The sequence below is a fragment of the Homo sapiens genome, chromosome 11 (assembly GCF_000001405.40).
Source record: "Homo sapiens chromosome 11, GRCh38.p14 Primary Assembly".
NCBI classification, from domain to species: Eukaryota; Metazoa; Chordata; class Mammalia; order Primates; family Hominidae; genus Homo; species Homo sapiens.
The window spans coordinates 49,213,682-49,236,032 of NC_000011.10; the positions used below are offsets into that span (position 1 = coordinate 49,213,682).

General features: G+C 37.0%; 1 pseudogene; it reads left to right on the plus strand.

Moving 5' to 3' along the window:
- The first annotated feature begins 8,829 nt into the window (after positions 1-8,829).
- Positions 8,830-8,941, plus strand: LOC124902845 (uncharacterized; annotated as a pseudogene).
- Positions 8,942-22,351: the final 13,410 nt, after the last annotated feature.

Below are 22,351 nucleotides of genomic sequence, written 5' to 3' on the forward strand. Positions count from 1 at the left end.
AACTTTTAGAGTTTTCTAAGGTTTTTATGTACTATTCATACCAGAAGAGTATGTGGAATTCCAGTTTCTCTCTGTTCTTGCCAACCAACTGGTATTTTACTGATGACAACTAAAATGGAGCAGCTTTTCATGTGGTTGCTTCTAATTTGTACTCTTCTTTTTTTGCACTGACCAAGTGTTTTGTCCCATTTTCGCTTGGGTATTCTGCCTTTTTCTTTTTTATTTGTAGGAGTTTTTGTATATATTATGACTATAATTTTATAATTTATTTTATTCAATAATGCAGAATTTTACATGAGCATATAAAAGATCTATCTTATCATTTTGTCACTTTATAGTATTTATAAAATATATTTATAATATTTTAAAGAATAGACATAAAATGAGGTATTTCATTTTTATTCATATCAAAATTCTTATCAAATAAGTGATTTACAAACATTTCATTTGACATTCTAGTTGTCTTTTCACTTTCTTGGTAATATCACATGAGTACTTAAAACAAATTTTTTTACGTGTACCTGATTCACATGAGAATTTAATAGATGCTCCCTTACTTACAATGATTTGGCTTAGGATTTTTCAACTTTATGATGCTGCATAAGTGATATACATTCAGCAAAAACCATACTTCAAGTACTCATACAATCATTTTGCTTTTCGCTTTTTGAACAGTATTCAATACATTACATGAGATACTCAACACTTTATAACAAAATAGGCTTTGTATTAGATGATTTTTTTCAACTGTTGGCTAATGTAAGTGTTCTGGGATGTTTAACTTAGGCGAGGCTAAGTTATAATGTTCAATAGGTTAGGTATATGAATCATACATACCTGATTTTAAATTTATCTCAGTCAGTAACTCGCATATGCAAATATGGGCAAATTGTTCCATTTTGCCTCATTTGTAATCTTTACCATTCCCAGAAAAGGCTCTTCTCAAAGTTACCAATGGTCTAGGTCTTTTCAAAGGCAGTGATCAGTTTTTTGATTCTGTTTTGTTTGTGTGTGTGTGTGTCAGTGGAACAACTGAACCATGTGACGTGGTATAGCCATAAGAATTCTTTAGACCCATAAGAACATCTGTTCTTACCAAACAGGAAAAACATGACAAAGGTGTAGGTTTCCATCAAGATCAGAGGTATTTTGACCTATGTAAGAAGATATTTTAAATAATATAAAAGCCAAAGAAAATTAAATCCAGTGATATAACCCTGAGTGGGTTTGCAGAGTTCTGTGGGAAAAAAATATTATAGGTGAAATCCAAACTGAAGCATGTAATGTACCTGAGCCATAAGATTTGCAAGACCATTTAGTGAGTTGATATGGTGACTACAGATAAGACTGAATATGTTCTATCACAGTAACAGATATCAGAGTCCCTGGTCAATATCTTAGGCGAATATGCATATTCCAACCATCTAGGGGAGTATCCTCAAAGACTTTGTGGTAACACTGTTGTTTCCTTTGTGGGAAAGCCTACTTTTACCCTTAAAATATTTAAAGTAAACATAGAAATATTTAGGTAATTAAACCCATTAGTTAAAATAAGTTTAAGCATATTTAGTATTTCAAAAATGTGATGCGTACTGTTCAGAAGAATATTGACTATTCAATGAAACTTTTTTTTAATGTAAGCTGTATAAATTGAGTAGTTGAGTTCACCTTTTGAGTTTTAAATTCAAAGTACTTACGGTATTTATATGCACTGTGACTGGAATATGGAAAAGAAGTTAAAATCGGGCCAGGCACACTGGCTCACTCCTACGATCCTAGCACTTTGGGAGGCTGAGGTGGGCAGATTGCTTGAGCTCAGGAGTTCCAGACCAGCCTGGGCAGCATGGTGAAACCCTATCTCTACAAAAAATAGAAACATTATCTGGGTGTGGTGGCTTGCGCCTATAGTCCCAGCTACTGGGGAGGCTGAGGTGAGAGGATAGCTCACACCTGGAAGGTTGGAGCTGCAGTAAGCCTGAGTGCAAGCCACCGCACTCCAGCCTGGGTGACAGAGTGAGACCCTGTCTCAAAAAAAAAAAAAAAAAAGAAAAAAGAAGTTAAGATTACTCATAATTATAAATTAAATATATTAGACTTACAAAAATTAATTTTAAGTACTTAGAAATGTTTGTTGGACAGACCATTGAAGTACCTAAAATATTAATAGAATACATTTATAAATGTTATTTAAAATGCTTAACAGTATTTAATTAACTATGTAAAATAAGACGAAGACTATGAGATATCCTGTAAGTTATTGTTAAAATTTATTAGATTTCTAAATAGAGTAAGATATGCCGAGACCAGCTTGGTCTGGGAGACCCTAACCCAGCGGCGCTAGAGGAATTAAAGATACACACACAGAAACATAGAGGTGTGAAGTGGGAAATCAGGGGTCTCACAGCCTTCAGAGCTGAGAGCCCTGAACAGAGATTTACCCACATATCTATTAACAGCAAGCCAGTCATTAGCATTGTTTCTATAGATATTAACTAAAAGTATCCCTTATGGGAAATGAAGGGACGGGCCAAATTAAAGGAATAGGTTGGGCTAGTTAACTGCAGCAGGAGCATATTCTTAAGGCACAGATCGCTCATGCTTTTGTTTGTGGCTTAAGAATGACTTTAAGTGGTTTTCCACCCTGGGCAGGCCAGGTGTTCCTTGCCCTCATTCCTGTAAACCCACAACCTTCCAGCTTGGGCGTTAGGGCCATTATGAACATGTTACAGTGCTGCAGAGATTTTGTTTATGGCCAGTTTTGGGGCCAGTTTATGGCCAGATTTTTGGGGGCCTGCTCCCAACAAAGATATATATATATATATGGAATATCAAGAAGCTAAAGAACAGGGTTTTTTTAAATGTAGCTTCAATCAGTTAAATATTGATTATAAAAATTAAAGTAAAACTCTGAAGAGTTTTCTGTGTATAAACCTGTCCTCAAGGATATAAAAAAACCGTCAGTGCAGACACTCAGAGAGTTTAACAAAGTTAATTGCTAATTCCTTCATTAACACTTTCTCTTCTAGACTGTATGACACCATTGTCCTCTGAAACTGACTGGCGTCCCTTCTCAGTCTCCTTTGCCAGCCCTGCCTTTTTTACCAGACCTTTAAATGTTGGAGTGTTCCAGGGCTCTCCCTTTGGCCCTGCTCTTTTCATTCTATAGTGTCTCTTGAGGTGATTTCAAACTCCAAGTACCATCTATATCTGGCCACAACTGGCTAGAGGTTCACCAAACACATTTCCCTATTGTTCTGGGAATACAGCTAGGCCGCATGTCTCAGTCTCCCTTAAAGGTAGGGGTGTCCTCATTATTGTGTAAGAACTAATAACATATGAGAGGAAGTGATGTATGCCCCTTCCAAGCTTATCCCCCTCCAAAAACCTCCTATACAATTTTCCCCTCTCTTTGTTTACCCTAATGGTTTCTGAAACACACAGAGGCTCTAGCAGAGGATGCAGAGGCCCTGGAGAATGATACAGCCAGACAGAAAGAGCCTAGATTACTGAACCATTGCTAGGAGCGATCAATAACACCCAAATAAACTTTATAGCAATAAAAGAATAAATTATTTTTTTAACTGAATGGATTGATTTGGTACAGAAGCTGGTGCACTAAACACTTCTGATCTTGACTGAGACCTGCATTTTTTTCGTATTTGTTGTCCACTTAGACTTCTCCCTTGAGATTCAGCATTAAATATGTAATTACTTAATTGAGGTCTCCAACTGGAAGTCTATTAGCTCAAGCTTCACATAGTGAAAGATAAGTTGCTCTACAACCCACTGCCCAACAAATTTACTTTGTGCCTCCCCAATACCAACCCAACCTATTGCCAGACTTCCCTCCCTGTCGTACCTGAATAAATGATGACACCACTCTTCACAGCAGTTCAGGCTAAAATCCTGTCACTCTTGACTATTTTACTCATAACCAGCAGCTACCTCTACTTAGTCCTAAAAGGGAAAAAAAGTCATCTTTTCCTTGTAAACCTTTACCTTTACTCTATTTTTCTCTGCTAAACAAAGTTTAAACTTTTTATCAAGATGTACAAATCTTTGCAAAATCTCATACAAATCTAGTCTTGCGATGAACTTCTACCTTGAAAACCTCATGCCCCTGGTCACTGTGAAATGGATGAAGAGTAGATATCTGACTCAGCTTTGGAGAATATTTTTGCCAAGGTGTTGAATTCAAGTTTAAAGTGACTGGAAGCATTACATGAGTGGCTAGCTAGCTTCTACCTCACATATGAATTGACTAACAAAGAAAGCAGGATTAACTAGAAAGCAGAATAAAGCAAGTGCCCAGAGAGGAGCAGAAACAATATTAGAAATGGAGCACTCCTTCAATTTATAATCTCCAAGATCTTGATTACTGCATTTCCTGAGACCCATTGTCATTTCTACATTTGGCTTCTGTGAGACATTCTTGTATCTTTATAATAAGCCCCTACCACCATTACTCCCTCTCTTTTTTGCTTAAGCTAACTGGAATTGGTTTATTTTATCTACCGTATAGAATCCTGAATAATTAAGCTTTCCAGCCTCATCTCTAATTCACTAGTACTCCCCGATTCCCTTCTGCCATCACATATGAAAACTGGATACATTGAACTTCAAATGGTTTCTAGAATATTGTTGGCTATTTTGTGATATTAGGATTTAAAAAAATCTGTCTCATTTGCTTGTGATATTCGCTGCCACTTAGCTTTCTGGAAATGTTTTAGTCATGCATTAGGGCTCGTCTCAAATATCACCCTTGCATTGGACTTATTTGGACCTTCTGCAGGAAGATATTTTTATTCCATCTTTTGTGCTGTCATAGTACTCTATCTACCCATCTGTAATGACATGAAGGACATGAAATCATTATTGAAAGATTTTCTTCCTCATTAGACTGACGCAAAGGCAGGAATGATGCCCAATTAATTCTGAATGCCTCAAGTATACCACACGATTTGACCTACAGTTGTATGTCTATTTGTCAAATGAGGGAAGAAATACATGAAAGAAGAAACTGTGCTAGCCCTGCCAATTATTATTTTAGCAGATATCTTATTTTAATTGTTTAAGTTTCAAATGATCTTTGTGGTATACTGGCTTATTTGTTTAGTTTATTTCTCAGCACATTCTTTGCATATTTTATTACCCATCAGCAATAAAAGACAAGAAGGGAAAGAAGGAATTGTAATAATCAGCTCTTCACACCCTTATTTCTCTTCCCTAATATTTCCCCAAGTTTTTATTTTGTTCTCACAATTAAGTCTATACTACTTAGAAAATAAGATTAAATCTTCTATGCTCCTTTGGTTAGAAATTTTTCTGGGATGGATTTAAAGTTGAACATCTATTGCAACTTAAAATTTTTGTTAAAGTTGCTCTTTCTTTCTAATAGCAATTATGTTGGGCTAGAGGATAAATAGTTGGAGATAATGGAATTTTCTCTTAGTGTTATTGCTGCCTCCATTCTTCTATATCTTGTAATGGACTCTTTGGAGATTATAATAATAATGAATACTAGCTTAATATTTATCAACCACAGAGCCGGGGGCTGAGCCAAGTGGTTTTATATACATTGCCTTATTTACTCCTTTTCTCAGCACTGTGACTATAGTACTTTCATAATACGTATAACTTTAGAGGTATTTTGAGTTACTAAGAAATAACATGAAAACAAGCTCTTTGAGCCTGTAAGATTACTAGCTAGGACAGCTTTGTAAGAGAAAGACCTCTTTACCCTTCAGGAGTAGCAGGAAAAGTATGCTATTCAACAGGATTGGCTTATCCACCTGACTCTGACATAATCATATATGAAATGATACTGATATCAGCTTTCTTTCTCCAATTGTTGATAATTTGGTTCATTATTTCTTGTCCTTCCTCATGAGTAATTTGATCTGTCCTGTTCCAGTTCTTCCCTTCCAGAGCAGGAAAGTCAAAGGAAAGGAGGAAGTTGTGTAGAAGAAAAGTTTCAAGGGGCATTCTCCGGAAGGACTGAAACATTATGCTAACCAGTCAAAACATATTTTGAGAAGTTAAATTTGGATTAGAAGTCTCTTTCTATAAATTTTTTTTCAATTTTTAAAAATTTTTATCTTTAAAAAATGTGTTTTTCAAATTTTATCAAAAAGCTCGAGCTTTGTCCTAGCTGAGCTCACAGGAAAAGGAATGTTTTCAGATCTCAGATCTGAATAAGTGGGGGAACAGCTTATCTCTGAGGGGGCAAGCTGGTAAGAGGGTCCCATTTGAAAAACTCAGAAACAAGAAAGGATTTTAAGTGGGAACCAGGAGTTTCTCTTCAAAATAATCCTTTACACTCTGTTCATTAAAATATATATATATTTTTATATATTATATATTTAAATATATATTTATTTAAAAATATATTATATTATATATAAAATATATATTATATTTTATATACATATATTATATTGTATATATAAAATATATATTATATTTTATATACATATATATTATATTGTATATATAAAATATATATTTAAAATATTATATATATATATGAATTTAAAAAGTAGTCCTTTCACAAGGTCTAAGGATTTCTCCACTGCTGATAATCACAAGAGAACAAACTGAGTCTCTAGATAGGGAGAAAGTGAGAGTTGCAACATAGTTCCAGACTCCAGAAGAAAAGGGTTCACGTGCCACGGATTGCCAAGATATCCTGTGATAACTTAGCTTCTGCTTAGAGTGCTTAGGCCTATATCTCCTATCTACTATTTTCTCTATTTCTTGGGAAAGCTGTCTGATTCCATCTGTGTTTCTATCTGGATATTTAGCACTTATCACCATTTTATTATATTATTATATATTATTCAACTGGATTTTGTGGTTTAAGAGAATGTTGGGCTAGGAATCAGACCAGTGGTTTAATGCACTGAAAAGACATAATAATGTTATAATAACTAACACTTATTGCTTATTTGCTCTGTGTTGGGACTATGCTTAATGCTTTACATGGAATGTTGAGAATTACTGAAGTGTTCAGTGAGCAACAAACTATGAAGGTAGATCTATGTGATAAAAATTTAGTTTGGTAACAGAATAAAATATGTAAAAAGAAGTTATCTGTGGTGTATGTGGGATCATTGGTGTGCTTTGTCCTCAGACATAAGTGTAGGAGGGGGCATTTCAGATGAATGTTGCTATTTCTACAAGTCAAGCCAAGTAATTCAATAGAATAAAAATTTGCCATTATTAATTATTATTACTATTAATTTTGTCAAGCCTGGGCAGCTATATGTCATACCTTCAGTAAAAAGGAATATCCATAGCCTAGACATTGAAACTAATATATTTATTGTTCCAGATGCTAACACAGCTGAGTGATGCCCTTCATTCAGGAGCTCCTGGGGAACACAGTGCTATATAATACAGTGAAATGGGAATCAGTGAGAAGAGGAAAAATAACTTCATCAGGAATGTGAATCCAAGATTCTTAAAAGGGCAGAGTACTTTTCTCATTCATTGTTTTTTTTTTTACCTCCATTCAATTAAAGAGACTTGGGGTCATCGATGTTTCTTTTCTCTTCCATTTCATTTTTGACTTAATACACAAATGGAGTATGTTATTGACAGAGGGTCCCCCTTGTGGTCCAGCGTAAACTCCGTCATTCAATCAAAACTGCACACCAAAAACCTATATGATTCATAAGCAAGTGGCATAGGTGTTTGCGCTACGTCATATTTCAACAGGTAGCATACCTCCAATTTATTTGTTTATTTTTGAGTTGCTTAGTTTGTATTTGCATTTTCTGGGTACTAGATTCCTGACAAGAATCAGGTAAGGCTGTCATAGCCCAATATATGGAGTTCTATAACTCAGCACTTTAAAGAAAATAGTCCTCAGGACTTTAAAAAAGTTTTTAAAAGGCAAATTAAATAATTATTTGTATTTTAAAAAAATCTTTGTGCTTTTAAAATGCTATTAATTTAAACATGATTATGGACAATAGATTGCTAGTGATGAATGATGGGGTTTTGGACGCACCAGACATTGTACAGCTTCCCTTGGGGCAAGCATGGTGATCGATGTGGGTTTCGCAAGCTGGAGTCATTCAACTTGGTGTTCTAGTCTTGTATATATACTTAATTTCATATTTAAATTGTACAATTATGTTATTTTGACTATAGTCAACCTGTTGTGCTATTAAATACTAGATATTATTTATTCTTTCTAACTATTTTTTGTACCCAATAACCATCCCCACCTCACCCTCAAAGCCTACACTACCCTTTGCAGCCTATGGTAACTATCCTTCTGCTCTCTACCTCCATGCGTTCTATTGTTTTGATTTTTACATCCCACAAATAAATGAGAACATGAAATGTTTGTCTTTCTGTGCCTGGATTATTTCACCTAAAATAAAATGTTTGTCTTTCACCTAAAATAATAAAATGTTTGTCTTTCTGTGCCTGGATTATTTCTCCTCAAATAATGATCTCCAGGTCCATTCATGTTGTTGCAAATTTTTTTCATGTGTCTTTACCACCTGTTCTGGTACCATACCCATCTGTGTTCAATTTTTTTTGTACTGAAAAGTATATATATATATCTCCAATTCCCTGTGATACCGAGGAAAGACAGCATACACACACACACACACACACACACATATGTATATGTATATATATACATATGCATATACAGCTACTGAGTGACAAGTGGTATGGTATAATATCACCTGTCACTCAGTAGCTATCATATATATATATATAAAACAAGGAATTGTTTCCAGGAACCCCAAAGATACTGAAATCTGAGGACGCTCAGCTCAAGTCCCTTATGTAAAATGGCATAGTTATATTGTTTCTCTGACTTTTGGCTAAGATGAAGTTTAGTATCTGTTCTTATCAGTTTAAAGTGGCATAGTATTTGCATATAGCCTATGCATCCTCTATACATTAAGTAATCTCTAGATTACTTATACTACTTAATACAACACACATGCTATGTAAATAGTTGTTATACTATATTTTTTATTTGTATTATTTTTTATTATTGTATTGTTATATTTTAATGTTTGTTATTTCCAAACGTTTTTAATTCATGGTTGGTTGAATCTGTGAATGCAAAATCCACGGATATGGAGGGTCGAATGTACACACACACACACACACACACACACACATTCATAATTTTCAAAGTCCACAGTAAGTATCAAGCAGTGTGTGTTTACCTGCATGTGTAGGTGAATTAACTCTGTTCCTGAGGCGGTTTTATTTCCCTCCAATGGATTCTACTTTATTTCTTAATGTCAAGAAATGGCTTATCTCTATCTGAGTACCTGTACTTCCTTTCTCTGTCTCTCTCTGCTGTCTCTGTCTCTATCTTAGTGTTTGTGTGGGTGAGAGATCACCATTCTGCCTGCACCACTCAAAATGCAGCTCTCCTAACTAAAAGATTGTATTATTCACGGAGGTCTCAAACGAAAATGTTTCTCCCATTGGACAGAAATGAGAATGCCCTGGCAACCATATTAGGGAAACATGATAATTTACCACATCCTCTCTGTATTCTTGTTCATTTATTTTTCATTCTGTCGTACTCTGTACCTTTTTATAGGCCACTTCAATTTGTTTTTTACTAGAGCTGGAAACATGTTACTTCTCCTATGAACCAGCCAAGTTTTTATGTGCTTATTATGGATTCAACATACCCCTCTTCTCAATTCACAACAAATGGCTCCTCTCTATCTGAGATAGAGCAAGTTGAAGTCCTATCCCTCCAGTACTGTACTTTACAATGTGAAGGCTTGGGACAGATTCTCCTCCACAGCCCCCAGAGGGAACCTATCCCACTGACACCTTAATTTTATACTTCTAGCATCTATAACTGTGAGACAACAAATTTTTGTTGTTTTCAGCCACTAAGTTTGAGGTGATTTGTTCTGGCAGTCCTAGGAAACTAATACAATGCCTCTATTAAAACAATTCATCTTGTTTACTCCAGTGTTTTTTTTTTTGGCATATCTGTTTCAGACTGGACTATGTACTCATCAAGAGAAATGACCTTATCTGTCATATACTTCACTCTGTGGTATTTATGTAAGGGATATAAAATGTAAGACATGATATGCTATGTAAGATATGATACCTGCCTTAAAATCCAGTGTTTATTCATCAAATTGTTACTGAGTGCCTGATGTAATTATGTAACAGCCACTCCTCAGGATACTGGTCATACAACGGTGAGCCCAGAGATGATGGTTTCCTCTCTCGTGGAGCAAACAGTCTGGAAAATGGTGGGGTGGGGGGACATTAAAAACACAAACAAAAAGAAAATAATTGCACAAAAATAATTGTCAAGCAGGAGAAAAACATCTGTATGTAAAGAAGAGGAAGCAGCGATCATTCTTGGCCATGGGATGATCTGGAAAGGCTTCTAAAAGGGGCAGTAGATTTTAATAAACAGCACACACAGAGAGACTATTTCCTTGTGAAGAAGAGAATGGGGAAGGACCCCTGGGTCATTAGTAGTTCATTTGCCTGGAGCATAGAGAAATAGAGTAAGTAGAGTAATCATGGCAATAGTTTTTTGGGTGTTTTTAAAATGCTTACTAAGTATCAGCCTTACATTATCTCATTTACCTTCACATTTTTTTGACGTAGGCTGTTGTCATCCCAATTTACAGATAAGGTTGTTGAGTTTTCCTTAATCGTAGCTTTATACTTATTATTATACCATACCACCTGTCACTCAGATTTATTCCTAGGGATAACTATAATTTGAAATGAGATCTCTGACTCCACAGGCTCTGTTTTTTTTTCATTCCACAACAGAGAATTATTCCCTAAAATGCAGAGTCAGAAAGATAGGTTGCAGGCAGATTTTAGAATACTTCTATTACTAATCAAAGACTATAAAAATATACTTTACAGTAAACAAAGGGGAAAATCAAATGTCTGCAAAGTAGTAACATGATATACATGCTAAAACATTGAAATAGGAAAAAATATTGGGGGAAGTAGGATTCCTTAGCACTTACTGAAGGAAAGATCCAGATAAGAAATGTAAATGTACTAGGCTTGGTGGCTCACACCTGTAATCCCTGCACTTTGGGAGGCCGCAGCTGGTAGATCACTTGAGGCCAGGAATTTGACACCAGCAGGGCCAACATGGTGAAATCCCATCTGTATTAAAAATATAAAAATTAGCCAGGCCTAGTTACATGCACCTGTAATCCCAGCTACTCAGGAGGCTGAGGCAGGAGAATCGTTTGAACCCGGGAGGTGGAGGTTGCAGTGAGCCGAGATTGTGCCACTGCACTTCAGCCTGGTCGACAAAGTAAGACTCTGTCTCAAAAACACACACACACAAAAAGCAAAACAAGTTATGTAAATCCATCATCAGAATGACTTAGTGTGAACAAGAAGCATCTGAGTTGTCTGCTAAAAATTCCTGCTTCTTCGCAATGAGAATATTCAAAAATCTCGCTTCAAGGTGGTGGATAAATTACCTCAATTTGGTCATTACACAATGCACCCATTTAAACACACATCGAAACATCAGGTTGTACCCTATAAGTATGCACAATTATTATGTGTCAATTATATTTTTGTTTAAATTCTACTTCCAGTCACCACTCCAGAGGACTGCTGACGTGAGGAGGTTTTAGACAATATTCTGTTCTGGCCTAGCCAAGGGATTAGGGAGGCAATGTAAGCCAAACTTCCTTTTTCACAGCAAGCTCTTGGACTGCAGGGATCAAATTTCATTCATCTTTTTATTCCCTTTTCCCCTAGGTCCCAGACCCTTGCTCATAATAAGCATGTGGATGACTCGAATTGAATTGTAAGAGTGAAAGACTCTTGTGAAAGAAGAATCATTAAGACTGTGTGAATTTAAAAAGAGAACGAATTCAAGAGAACATGCTTTGTAAGTCTGGGAAAGAGAACGTGCACGGTACAAGGGCGGTAACATGTGACCAAGAAGAGAAGAGTAAAATGAACTCACTAGCCAATTACATTCGAGTGATCTGCTACTTAGAATGCATGACTGAACTCCTGGGTGGTCTTATAGCCACTGCGTACTTTTCCTCTGCCAGACTTTGAAAGCACTTTGAAGACAGGGTGTCATCTAAAGGTTGGTGATTTGTATTGAGTTCCCCCACCCTAGAACTGGCAGGCACCATTCTCTCTGATAAATATCACAGGAAGAAATCAGAGAATTGTATTTTCCTTTGAAATAGTTGGAAGATATATAGAAAAGCCTAATGTGGTTTTCTCAGTTGGAAATTTTCCAGGACATAAGGATGTGAATGCCCATCTTCTCAAAAGACATGCTGTAGATGCCAACAGATCTGAGCAGCAGGATGGAATGTATCGAAATAAATGGCAGGATTATCCAGTGCTGGAGCCCTTATTTAAGAAGCCCATATTAATTGAGCTGAATATAGTTGGCATTCCAACAAATATATGCTGAAAGGAAAATAGCAAAAACAACTTAGGGGATATGTTCTCTCACGTGGTTGATAATTTGTTTCCTAACATTCTGTCACTGAACCTGGCTGGATATGGAAAAGTCCATTCTACTTTCATTCTACTTCAGCTACTCAGATCTTAGTTGTACCCTAGAACTTTTCATGATGGATAATTGTACCCTTCTATACTTTTCATTTAAACCATGTCACTCACCAATAATTACCTACCATTTTCAGCTAATTGCCTCTAGTGCCTTGGCTCCAAACATTCTTTGACCCAACTGTATTTACACTTTTCCTCATTCCTTTATACCCCTAAAATTTGCAGTCCCCTTCTTACTTAGCTAATATTTTACAATCTCTCCCACAAACACCCTCAAATGGCTTTGCATCTCTCTTCTTCATTGTGTTACTTTTGTAAAATCCAGACCCTATTTAAATACAATGTTCCATGTATTCTGTGCCTGAACCTATGCAGCTGATGTAGCTGAAGCAAAGCAGGGGTATTGGTTGGCCTCACTTTAAATTCTTCATCCTTAATTGGAAATGTATCTTCATACTCCCTGGTAATCCTACTTTATATATTTTTACACCTATTACTTTTCCTGAACTTCCAATACTGCCTCGCTCCTCTTCATTTTGGTTTATGAACCTGGCTTCCTATTTCACTGGGGAAATAGAAGTAATCAGTAATAACTCGCACGTCTTTTCACCACCACATCGACCAGCCCATCCTATCTGTACATGTTTATTGTCTCTTCCTTCCTTTCTTACTTGAGCTGTACATGCTCCTATCTGATCACACCTATGCACAGGGTCTCATTCTCTTTCACTTCAGCAATTAGACTCTTCCTTAAAAAATAATTTTCTGTCTCAACTTGATTATTCCCACAATAGTGCAAACATGTTGTAATATCTTTTTTCTTTAAAATAACCCATTTTCTTTAAAATAATTTCCAACTATCAACTGATTCCTCTGTTTCTCTCTCTATAAAATTCCTTAAAAGAGATTTCTTATGTTGCTTCTCTCCCTTTTCTCTCTTCCCATTCTCATTTGAATCTACTTCAAAAGGTTTACTATACTAAGAAAACAAGCTCTTCTCAAGATTACCTATGGTTTCCATAGTGCTAAATTCAGTGATAAATTTAGTCTTTGTCTTAATCAGCCTCTCGGTATCTTTGATTCAGAGGGTAATTCTCTCCTTCTTGAAATACTTTCTTCACTTGACTTCTGGGAGCTACTCTCAGTTTTCCTATTCACTTTAGATGTTCCCCTAAGCTCTGTTTACTCATTTATCTCATCCCTCCACTGGAGTTCACTAGGGTTCAGTCCTTAGATCCTTTCTCTATCAGCATTCACTCACAAGGTGATATCACATAGCCTTTGAATAGTATCTGAATATTGATGATGGTCAAATGTTATTTCCCTTGAACTCGAGATTCTATTCAACTCCTACTAAACATCCTTACCTGAACAATTAATAGACACATCAAATTTAATATATCCTAAGTTGGACTCTTGATGTCCTGCTCTTCCAAACCTGGTTCTCTTGCACATTTTCTATCTCATTAAATGTCTATTTCTTCCCATTGCCTAAGCAATTCAGAGTCACTCTCGAAGTGACTTTTCTAATTTCCCCATGCATATTTGATCGATCAGTCGTGTTAATTATGCCTTTTAAATGTGTCAAGAATCTAATTACTCCTCTTCCACTGCTAACTTTTCTTGAAATGACCATCAGCTGTCTCTTGGATAAATACGATGCTTTACTTTTGGTATTTCTGATTCAGCATTTGCTTCCTTATTATCCGTTCTGAACATAGCATCTGGGTTAGAGGTCTTGTCACCTCTGTGTCCCAAAGTCTACAGTGATTCCCACCACCCTCCTTATCAAGGCTAACAAGGCCCTACATGATCTGGTCCCCACTTCTTTTCAGACCTAATTTCTTCTACTTTTTTCAGGCTTCACTCATTAGCCACACTGTCCTCCTTGGTGTGCTTCCACTCTTAGCACATTCCCAGCAAAGGCCTTTTGTTCTGATTGTCCCTCTTCTTGGAGCTCTCTTCCTTAAATATCTGCAAAATATCTGCTTATCTTTTTCCATCACATCCTTCAGGCCTTTCCTCAAATGCCAATTTCTCAGGGAGGTTTTCCCTGGCAACCGTATCTAAGATTACGCTTTCCTACCCCAGCACTATCAAACCCCATCCCTGCACAGTTCTCTTCCTATTTACAGCCATCTAACCTACTACATATGTGACATATCTATGTATTGACTGTTTTCCCCTCTAGAATATATGTACAATGAGGGCATGGATTTTGTTCACTGTTTCATTTCCAGCACCGTAAAGAGAACCTGATATATAGAAGACCCTATATAAGTAACAATTGAATACTTAAAGGCAGGCAACTCTAGGGTTTCTTCCCCAGACCTCTGTACCAGAAATTGAAATAGGAAATAGAAGATATTGAGGATACTAGGTATTCTCTACCTGTGTTATTGACCAGAAGCAGCAACATATAATTTTTCTTTGCAAGGACTAAGCTAATCAATAACGAAGCAATGTCACTGAAAATCACACTCATGGAATGAATTTTAATAAAAATATATTTTTGGATGCTTTTTGTTATATTTGAGAGAATGAATTGAGAATTTTTGTTTTTTTTAAGTCAGGTGGACTCCTAATAACTTTTAAAGGCTAAGTTAAAAAGGTCTCATTTTCTCTAAAGCATTTCTGACTTACCAGTCAGTCAGTCACTCTTTCCTCAGCACATTTTATGTGTGTCTTAACTCTAGCTCTTATCACATTATTTCATAGTTTGCTGTATTGGGTTAATTCCACAACTAGGCTTTGTGTCCCGAGGAGCTACAACTGCTTCTGTCACATAGTAGGTTCTCATAAATCTTTGTTGAATAGCTTATGTAGACTCAGATGCCACAAGATTGGCAATAATTCACTGTTATTACAAAAAGAGAATTAATATAAAACATCACCTTGTTTGTAGATATATTAAAGAAGAAGGGAACCATGAAACACAATCTTAAGGAATTACAATGTGTCCTCTAAGTTTTGGATTTAATTGTCCTACCTAAATCTTAACAAACAAAAGCACATTGATACTTTATTTTTCTTCTTCTTATGTTTTGTATTACCCTGACTTAGTCACCAGATGTCACTATGAGACTGTTGTCCAGGTCACTCTTTCTTTAAACAAGAAGGAAACAAAGACCTCACATGAGGCAAAACCTATGGAGCAAAAACACATGGAGCAAAACCTATGTCCTTGCGGAAACACCTTATAAATGTTAAGGCTAGTAGCTTTAGGGTTTTATTTTAGAGTGGATTTTGGCATGGCTTAGTGTGTAAGAAAGAGCGCTGGACTGGGAATTGAGACTCCTGTATTTTAGCCCCAATTCTGTCATTTTAAAATATTTGACCACCTGGTAGATTTCTTTACCTTTCTGGGCTGTGAAAGATATCCTCATCTGAAAATAAGGGTGGCCAAAGAACCTCACAATCTTCAAGCTCTAACATCCAGTGATTCTATTCCCTTCTTTTGCTAATTTCTTGGAAAGTAGCCAGAAGACTTTACTACCAGGGATGATTTGGGAAGTCAGCATAAGTGAGAATAATGAGTACCTATTGCATACTCTATTTTATTCTAAACACAGTCTCTGCTAGGCTTTGACCTACCATGAAGTGGGGAAACCTTTATGGTCACTCTCACTTCTACACAGTCTCTGTATATTGGTGGTACACATTGTGTGAAATACCTTCTCCATCTAGAGATTGCTTCATTTTTTTATTATAAAAACATTACACAAAATTTGTTTAAGGTGTCATGTAAATATACTTTTAGTGACTGTCATTTTTGGGGTTTCACTCTCAGAGGAAAATGAATTATTTATATTAGGTATTTCTGAATACCTAATCTGAATATGCTTGCTTTTTTAAAAAAACCAGTTCTCTGCAATGTTCACCCATCCACCTACCTAAAATATGCACCACTTAATCTTTTATTCATGCTGCTCCACAGCGTGCCGTAATCATAACCCACTTGTGGTAGACTCAGACACTGTTGTTGTATGAATGCCTCATTTATCTCTTTCTGTGCATATTTATGTTTCAGTTAGCTATTTTCATTGCATGTAGTTCCTTCCATAGTGTGGGTTCTTGTATTCTCAGCCATTTTCTTTGTCATTATTTTACTCAGAGTCGAACCACAGAGTAAATATTTTTGAGAACAGTCTGAATTATATGGAGCCTTTAACACTTAGAGGCACTATCCTAATACCCAAATTATTATATAGAACAAGCTGACACGTGCTTTTATAGAATTATCTAATCCTGAAACATATCTTGAGTATTTACTAAATGCTCCACACTGTTGATGTTCTGGGATTGAAACAACAGATAACACAGTGTGGCACAGAGAGAGCAGGAACAAGCATTTACACAGCAAAGTGGTGACCGTTACAGTGGAGTTGTGTGCAACACACTGTGGGAGGCTAGAGGAAGGCAGCCAGGCTTCACAGAGGATGGTATAGACTTACCCTTGAGCTGACCTTCAAAAATAGTCAGGAAGGTTTGCATGGGAGGTTGGGAGTCTATTCCAGGCAGAGGGGGCAGCAGAGGCAAAGAAAAAGAGGTTTGAGACTACATATTAAACTGGAGAAGTGCATATGGTCTATACTTACTGCTTAGCAACAGAGTAGAATGATTTGCTGGGAGGTGAGACTGAATTAATATTAATCTATTGATTTCTCTTTGAAATTTACAAAATTTTCTCCTCTCCCCTTCCTTCTTTATGTATTTTGGTTCTACTGGAGTCAGTTCAGGTGTTTCTTAGGAAATTGTTCTTTATGATCTCTGTGAGTTGACATTAAAATATACATTATGTATGTTCTGTGACACATTGTTACTCTTATATGTTAGTTGTTTAACACCTATATGGGCTCTTGCCTCAGCTAAACAGTGAGTTCTCAAAGGTCACATTCATGATTAGCAGCCACACTGAATTATTATTACATGGAAGAATGGAAGGCAGGAATGAAGAAAGGAATGGTGGGAGGGAGGAAAGAAGGTAGGAAGGAAAAAGAAACAAGGGGCGGAATAAGCGCTTGTAGTGGAAGATGGAATTAATGTTTTTCAAGAGTATCTTAGTTTCTAAGATGCTCAAATACAATGAGAAATATATTTGAGCATCCTGAATTGTGTGAAAGTTTTAAAATAATATTTGTCAATGTTCAGGAGAAAAATTCTTCTGAACATGTGAAACAAGAGGAAGACCGAAGGTAGATATGCATAGAACCCTATCCACAGTTACTGAGTATGTTTAGTAGGGTAGAAATTGAGAAAAACTGCCTTATAGAGAGCTCAGCTCCAAAATGACTGGCATGAGATTTAAACTCAGCATGTATAGGTTACACAAAATAATATCACATTCCAATCATAGATATCATAGACCCTAAAAGGGCAATAGTGCAAGATCTTTCATTGCACTGTCTTGATATTTCTAAGTCAAACTGCTTTTTGTTTCAAGGAAACAAAACCTCTTGAGGAAGAAACTTCTGAGATGGCAGCTGCCAGAGATATACAAGCTGCCCAAGTGAGGGGTTAGGAAAAGCTGAAGCCAGGCAGACATGACTGTGGGTCCAGGCTCTACCTCTTGGTAGCTATGTGACCATCAGCAAGGTGCTGTGTTTCTTCTACCCAAGCTTCAGTTTCCTTGCTTATTAAATACAATGAGTTTTTTTTTTTCTTTCTGACAGAGGGGGCAGCAAAGACAAAAAATTGATTACAGGACAGGGAGTATCTGAAAAACTCGGCATTGTGCCTGACACGTAAAGTGCTCGGAAAATAACAGCCATAATTATTGTTGACAAGTCTGGAGCAGGAAAACAAACAAGCATACAAAACACAAGATTAGACTGTAGGTTAAAAAATACAAGGTCTAGTTCTGGCTCTGTCATTTATTTGCTATGTAACCTCAGTCACATGTGTTTTTTTCCCTCATCTATACAATTGGAGAATTCTACCTATTGTACCTACTTGGCAGCATCATATGAGATTATATAGATATAGATATATATAGCACTATATGGTCTAAGGGATCATTTTTATTACAGGCTTGATTTGAAAAACGCAGAGTTCCACTCCCTCAAGATGAAGCACCCGTGCCTTGTTCTGCCTGACAGCCTAGGACTGATGCTACTTGCAGAATTTTAGTGCTCAGCCCCTTCAGAGATTGCCCCAGCTACAGAGCGGCCATAACCAACCACACACCCTCCAGAGGGTTGCCTGGATAAAATGACCACTCCATATAGAAGGCCTGGCCAAACTGGCCCGAGTCTGGACAACAATGAAGGGCCCTGATAGCTTCAGAGCTCCCCATAGGGTTGGTGGAGGCTGCTATTGAGATTACTTTGCCCATCAACTTCTCCCTGCTGCTTCCTGCTTCCTTCCCCTTCCTTCAGCAGATGTGGACTCCATGGACACTCCTTAATAAACATCTTGCAAGCTAAACTGCTTCTCAGAATCTGCTTCCCAGAGAACTAATCCCGTATAATCCCACTGATACATTTGGTTACATATGTACATATTGAATAAAGTTTATTTTACCTAGCAATTTGGTAAAATATTAGCTCGTTACAAATTTCCAAAGTGCACAGTGCTTGCAACTTTTATCTCATATTGTATGACTTTGAAAGTTGTTGAGAGCATATTTTATAAATAATCTCGCTTTGGGTGTTTTAGTAGTGTATGTGTAGCGCATAAATTAGGCAGCATTCTCATACAACACATATATCAGGTACTACAGGGACAGAGGAAGATCAGCGTGTATCAACAAAAACCACACATTTTATGATTAACACAGAGGATGATATGGAAAGTTGATGTATACCCTCCCCTAAGTTTTTCCCCGACTCTACAACCATGCTGTGATGTTCCTGGCTTTGTGTGAGTTAACTTACTTGGGAGTACAAGAAAAGAAAAGAGGCTTTTCAGCGTAGGATTATTTGTTTATTTGTTTGTTTGTTTAAGAGATAAGATCTCACTCTGTTGCCCGGGCTTGAGTGCAGTGACGCAATCATAGTTCACTGCAGCCTTGAACTCCTGGGCACAAGCAATCCAATTCTCCCATCTTGGCCTCCTGAGTAGCTGGAACTAAAGGCATGTGCCACCATGCCCATCATGTTGTTTTTCCTTGTTAAAACCACTGAAGCCATCTTCCTGGTACCCATGATGAGATCGCTTCTCTACTTGTCTTCTTGTTGCTTATTCTATCATCTCTGCACCTCCTGCTTTCCAAGAATTCACTGGCTACTAGATAGCCTTCTGCTATTTTCTAATATCCTCATGTGCTCTCAAAATATGTGATACATAAGCAAAACACTGTTAACCATCACGAAAGTTTAGATTAACAGCTTCTTTCTTTTTTGTAGTTGCAATCTTTCCTCTCTCCTTCTACCATTTTTTATTTGTTTTAATGAAAAGAGGCTTCTAAGCACTGATTTTCACTACCTCTTCAAGAGCCACAAAAATCAAAAGTACTAAGAGTAATATTTTTAACTTTAGGAGCCCAGGCAATCTTTCAAATAGATGACAAGCTTACGGTCAATAAAGAGGAATTTTAACCACATATCTCATGGATACAATGATGAAACTTGTCCCTTTTTACAGTCAGGAAGTAGAATCACCAGACCTCAAGTCAAAGTCCACATTTAAATCCCAAACACTCAGCTTCCTATGACGCATGCAGACATCCTTGCCCTTTGAACATACTACATCCCGTAATAGCTGTTTTGCAGTGAATGCACATTTCCTGGAGAATCGAGGTTGCCTCCTGGCCTTCCAATGTCCTGTGCTTCACTTCTATAATAGGTACATATTCATGGGCAAAGCTGTTGCCTTTGTGTTTTCACTGTTCAAGCTCAGGCAGGAACATAAGTTATCAGGATAGCATCCTAAAAGCACTTCTATTTCTTCCTGTTGGCAGTACATGCCAGAAAACTAAATTTTATGTTGTTTCATCTTATTTTTGGCAAGTTCATTCTGCATAAGATATATCTTAACAGTAGCCAAGCACAAGCAATCAAACTCAGACTTATTATTTTCTTAATCCCGTGTCACCCCTCGATATGGCCATTTTGGCCAGATTTACCCTGTGATTAAATGTCTACTTGTGTTCTGTTTATTGGTTATTGTCTCAGTACATCTGCAATTTTAAGATTCATTACATTATCTTTTGCTCATCTCTCCTATTCACCTGTCCGCAGTCTGTGTTTCACCTTGCCCTCACCTCCTGTCATCAGCCTGTCTCCCAAAAAAGGCCCCACCATTGTTCTGTTGCAAAATTCTATTTGGTCAGCTGCCTCATTACCTCTATTCAGGTCTTTTTCCTCTCCCCATATGCTCCAGTTCTCTGTTCCTGGATATGCTGGGTATAACTGGCACTCACTACTGAGTACAGGTACCCCTTATATGTGAGAGTCCTGGAGGCACCCAACCAATCTCACTATGGTCCTCAGTCAATGACTGAAATTGAGCTGCATTTCTTCATGGAGAAGTGGGAAAAATACCTCTTTCCCAATATTAGCATGGCTGTATTCCACACAAGCATAAGACATTTATGTTTGTGTCTCCATCATTTACAAAGTTTATAGTGAAGTAGCTCTTTTAGGTTATAACTTACACTGCTTACTTTCCCCACCACCTATTAGCAAAAGAATGAGCCCATGGGACATTTGAATAGGAGACCAATCTGAGTGAAACTTATCTACATGCAGATAGGTAACATCCAAAATGCTTCTTGGTAAAGCCAAATGCTGATGAACAGTGGGCCAAACTCATTAGTTTAGCTCTATTCCCCGCTACCCAGCTTTAATGAGGTATAACTGACAAGTAAAACTTACATATATTTAAGATGTACAACATGATAATTTGATATATATACATGGTAAAATGGTGACCACAATCAAGTTAATTAACATATCCATCACCTCACATAGTTACCATTTTTTCTTTGTGGTACAAACACTTAAGATCTACTCTCTTAGCAAATATAAAGTATACAATACAGTATTAATAACTACAGTCTCTATGTTGTCCATTACATCCCCAGAACTTATTCATCTAATAACTGAAAGTTTATACTATATGATCTTAGCTCTTTCTTTTATGGTAAGTCTCAGACTAGCCCTACTCCTGGGGGAGACTAGATGAAATTCCTGAGCAGAAAGTTGGAGTAGAGCAGGTAGATCTGAATAGAAATTTAGCATGAAAGAAGTCATAGGGGCCTAAGAAGAAGGAGCATTGGGGAAGGGGACATGGTATGAGGACAGAAGCAGAATTATCATCAAGAGACTGCAAAGCACATATCAATCATAACTGCCAGGCAGCCATATGGATGCCAGAATAAGGCTCGTAGTCCTATTGTGGCTATTTACATAGGCATTTCTGCACATAACCTCTGTCAAGGGTACATGTTGGCTGTTCTCAGCACCATCGGACAGAACAAACCATTACCACTTGCCTCTCCATGTGTGAGGACCTCCCAGCAGAAATACTGCTTACCTGTGCCATGAGATTTGTTTAGTACCCCTGTGCTGTCTGGGTACCTTCCTCTAAGCTTCCCAGGAAATTCCTAAGGTCTGGAAACACAGGATAGTGTTCTTGACCAGTAGTGGTTTCAAAGAGAATTTTCATTCCACTTCCAGCCTGTGCATTTGGGTAGAACAAGACCACAATAAAATGAATTCCATTACACAAATATTACTTACAAATTCTGATCCTTCCTGAAGTGACTTGGAATATTGTATTTCTCTTTTGATTTGGAAAGAGTTGATATTTCTTCTCACCAACCTGCACTAAGTTCTGTTTGAACTGAGAATCTTTTACA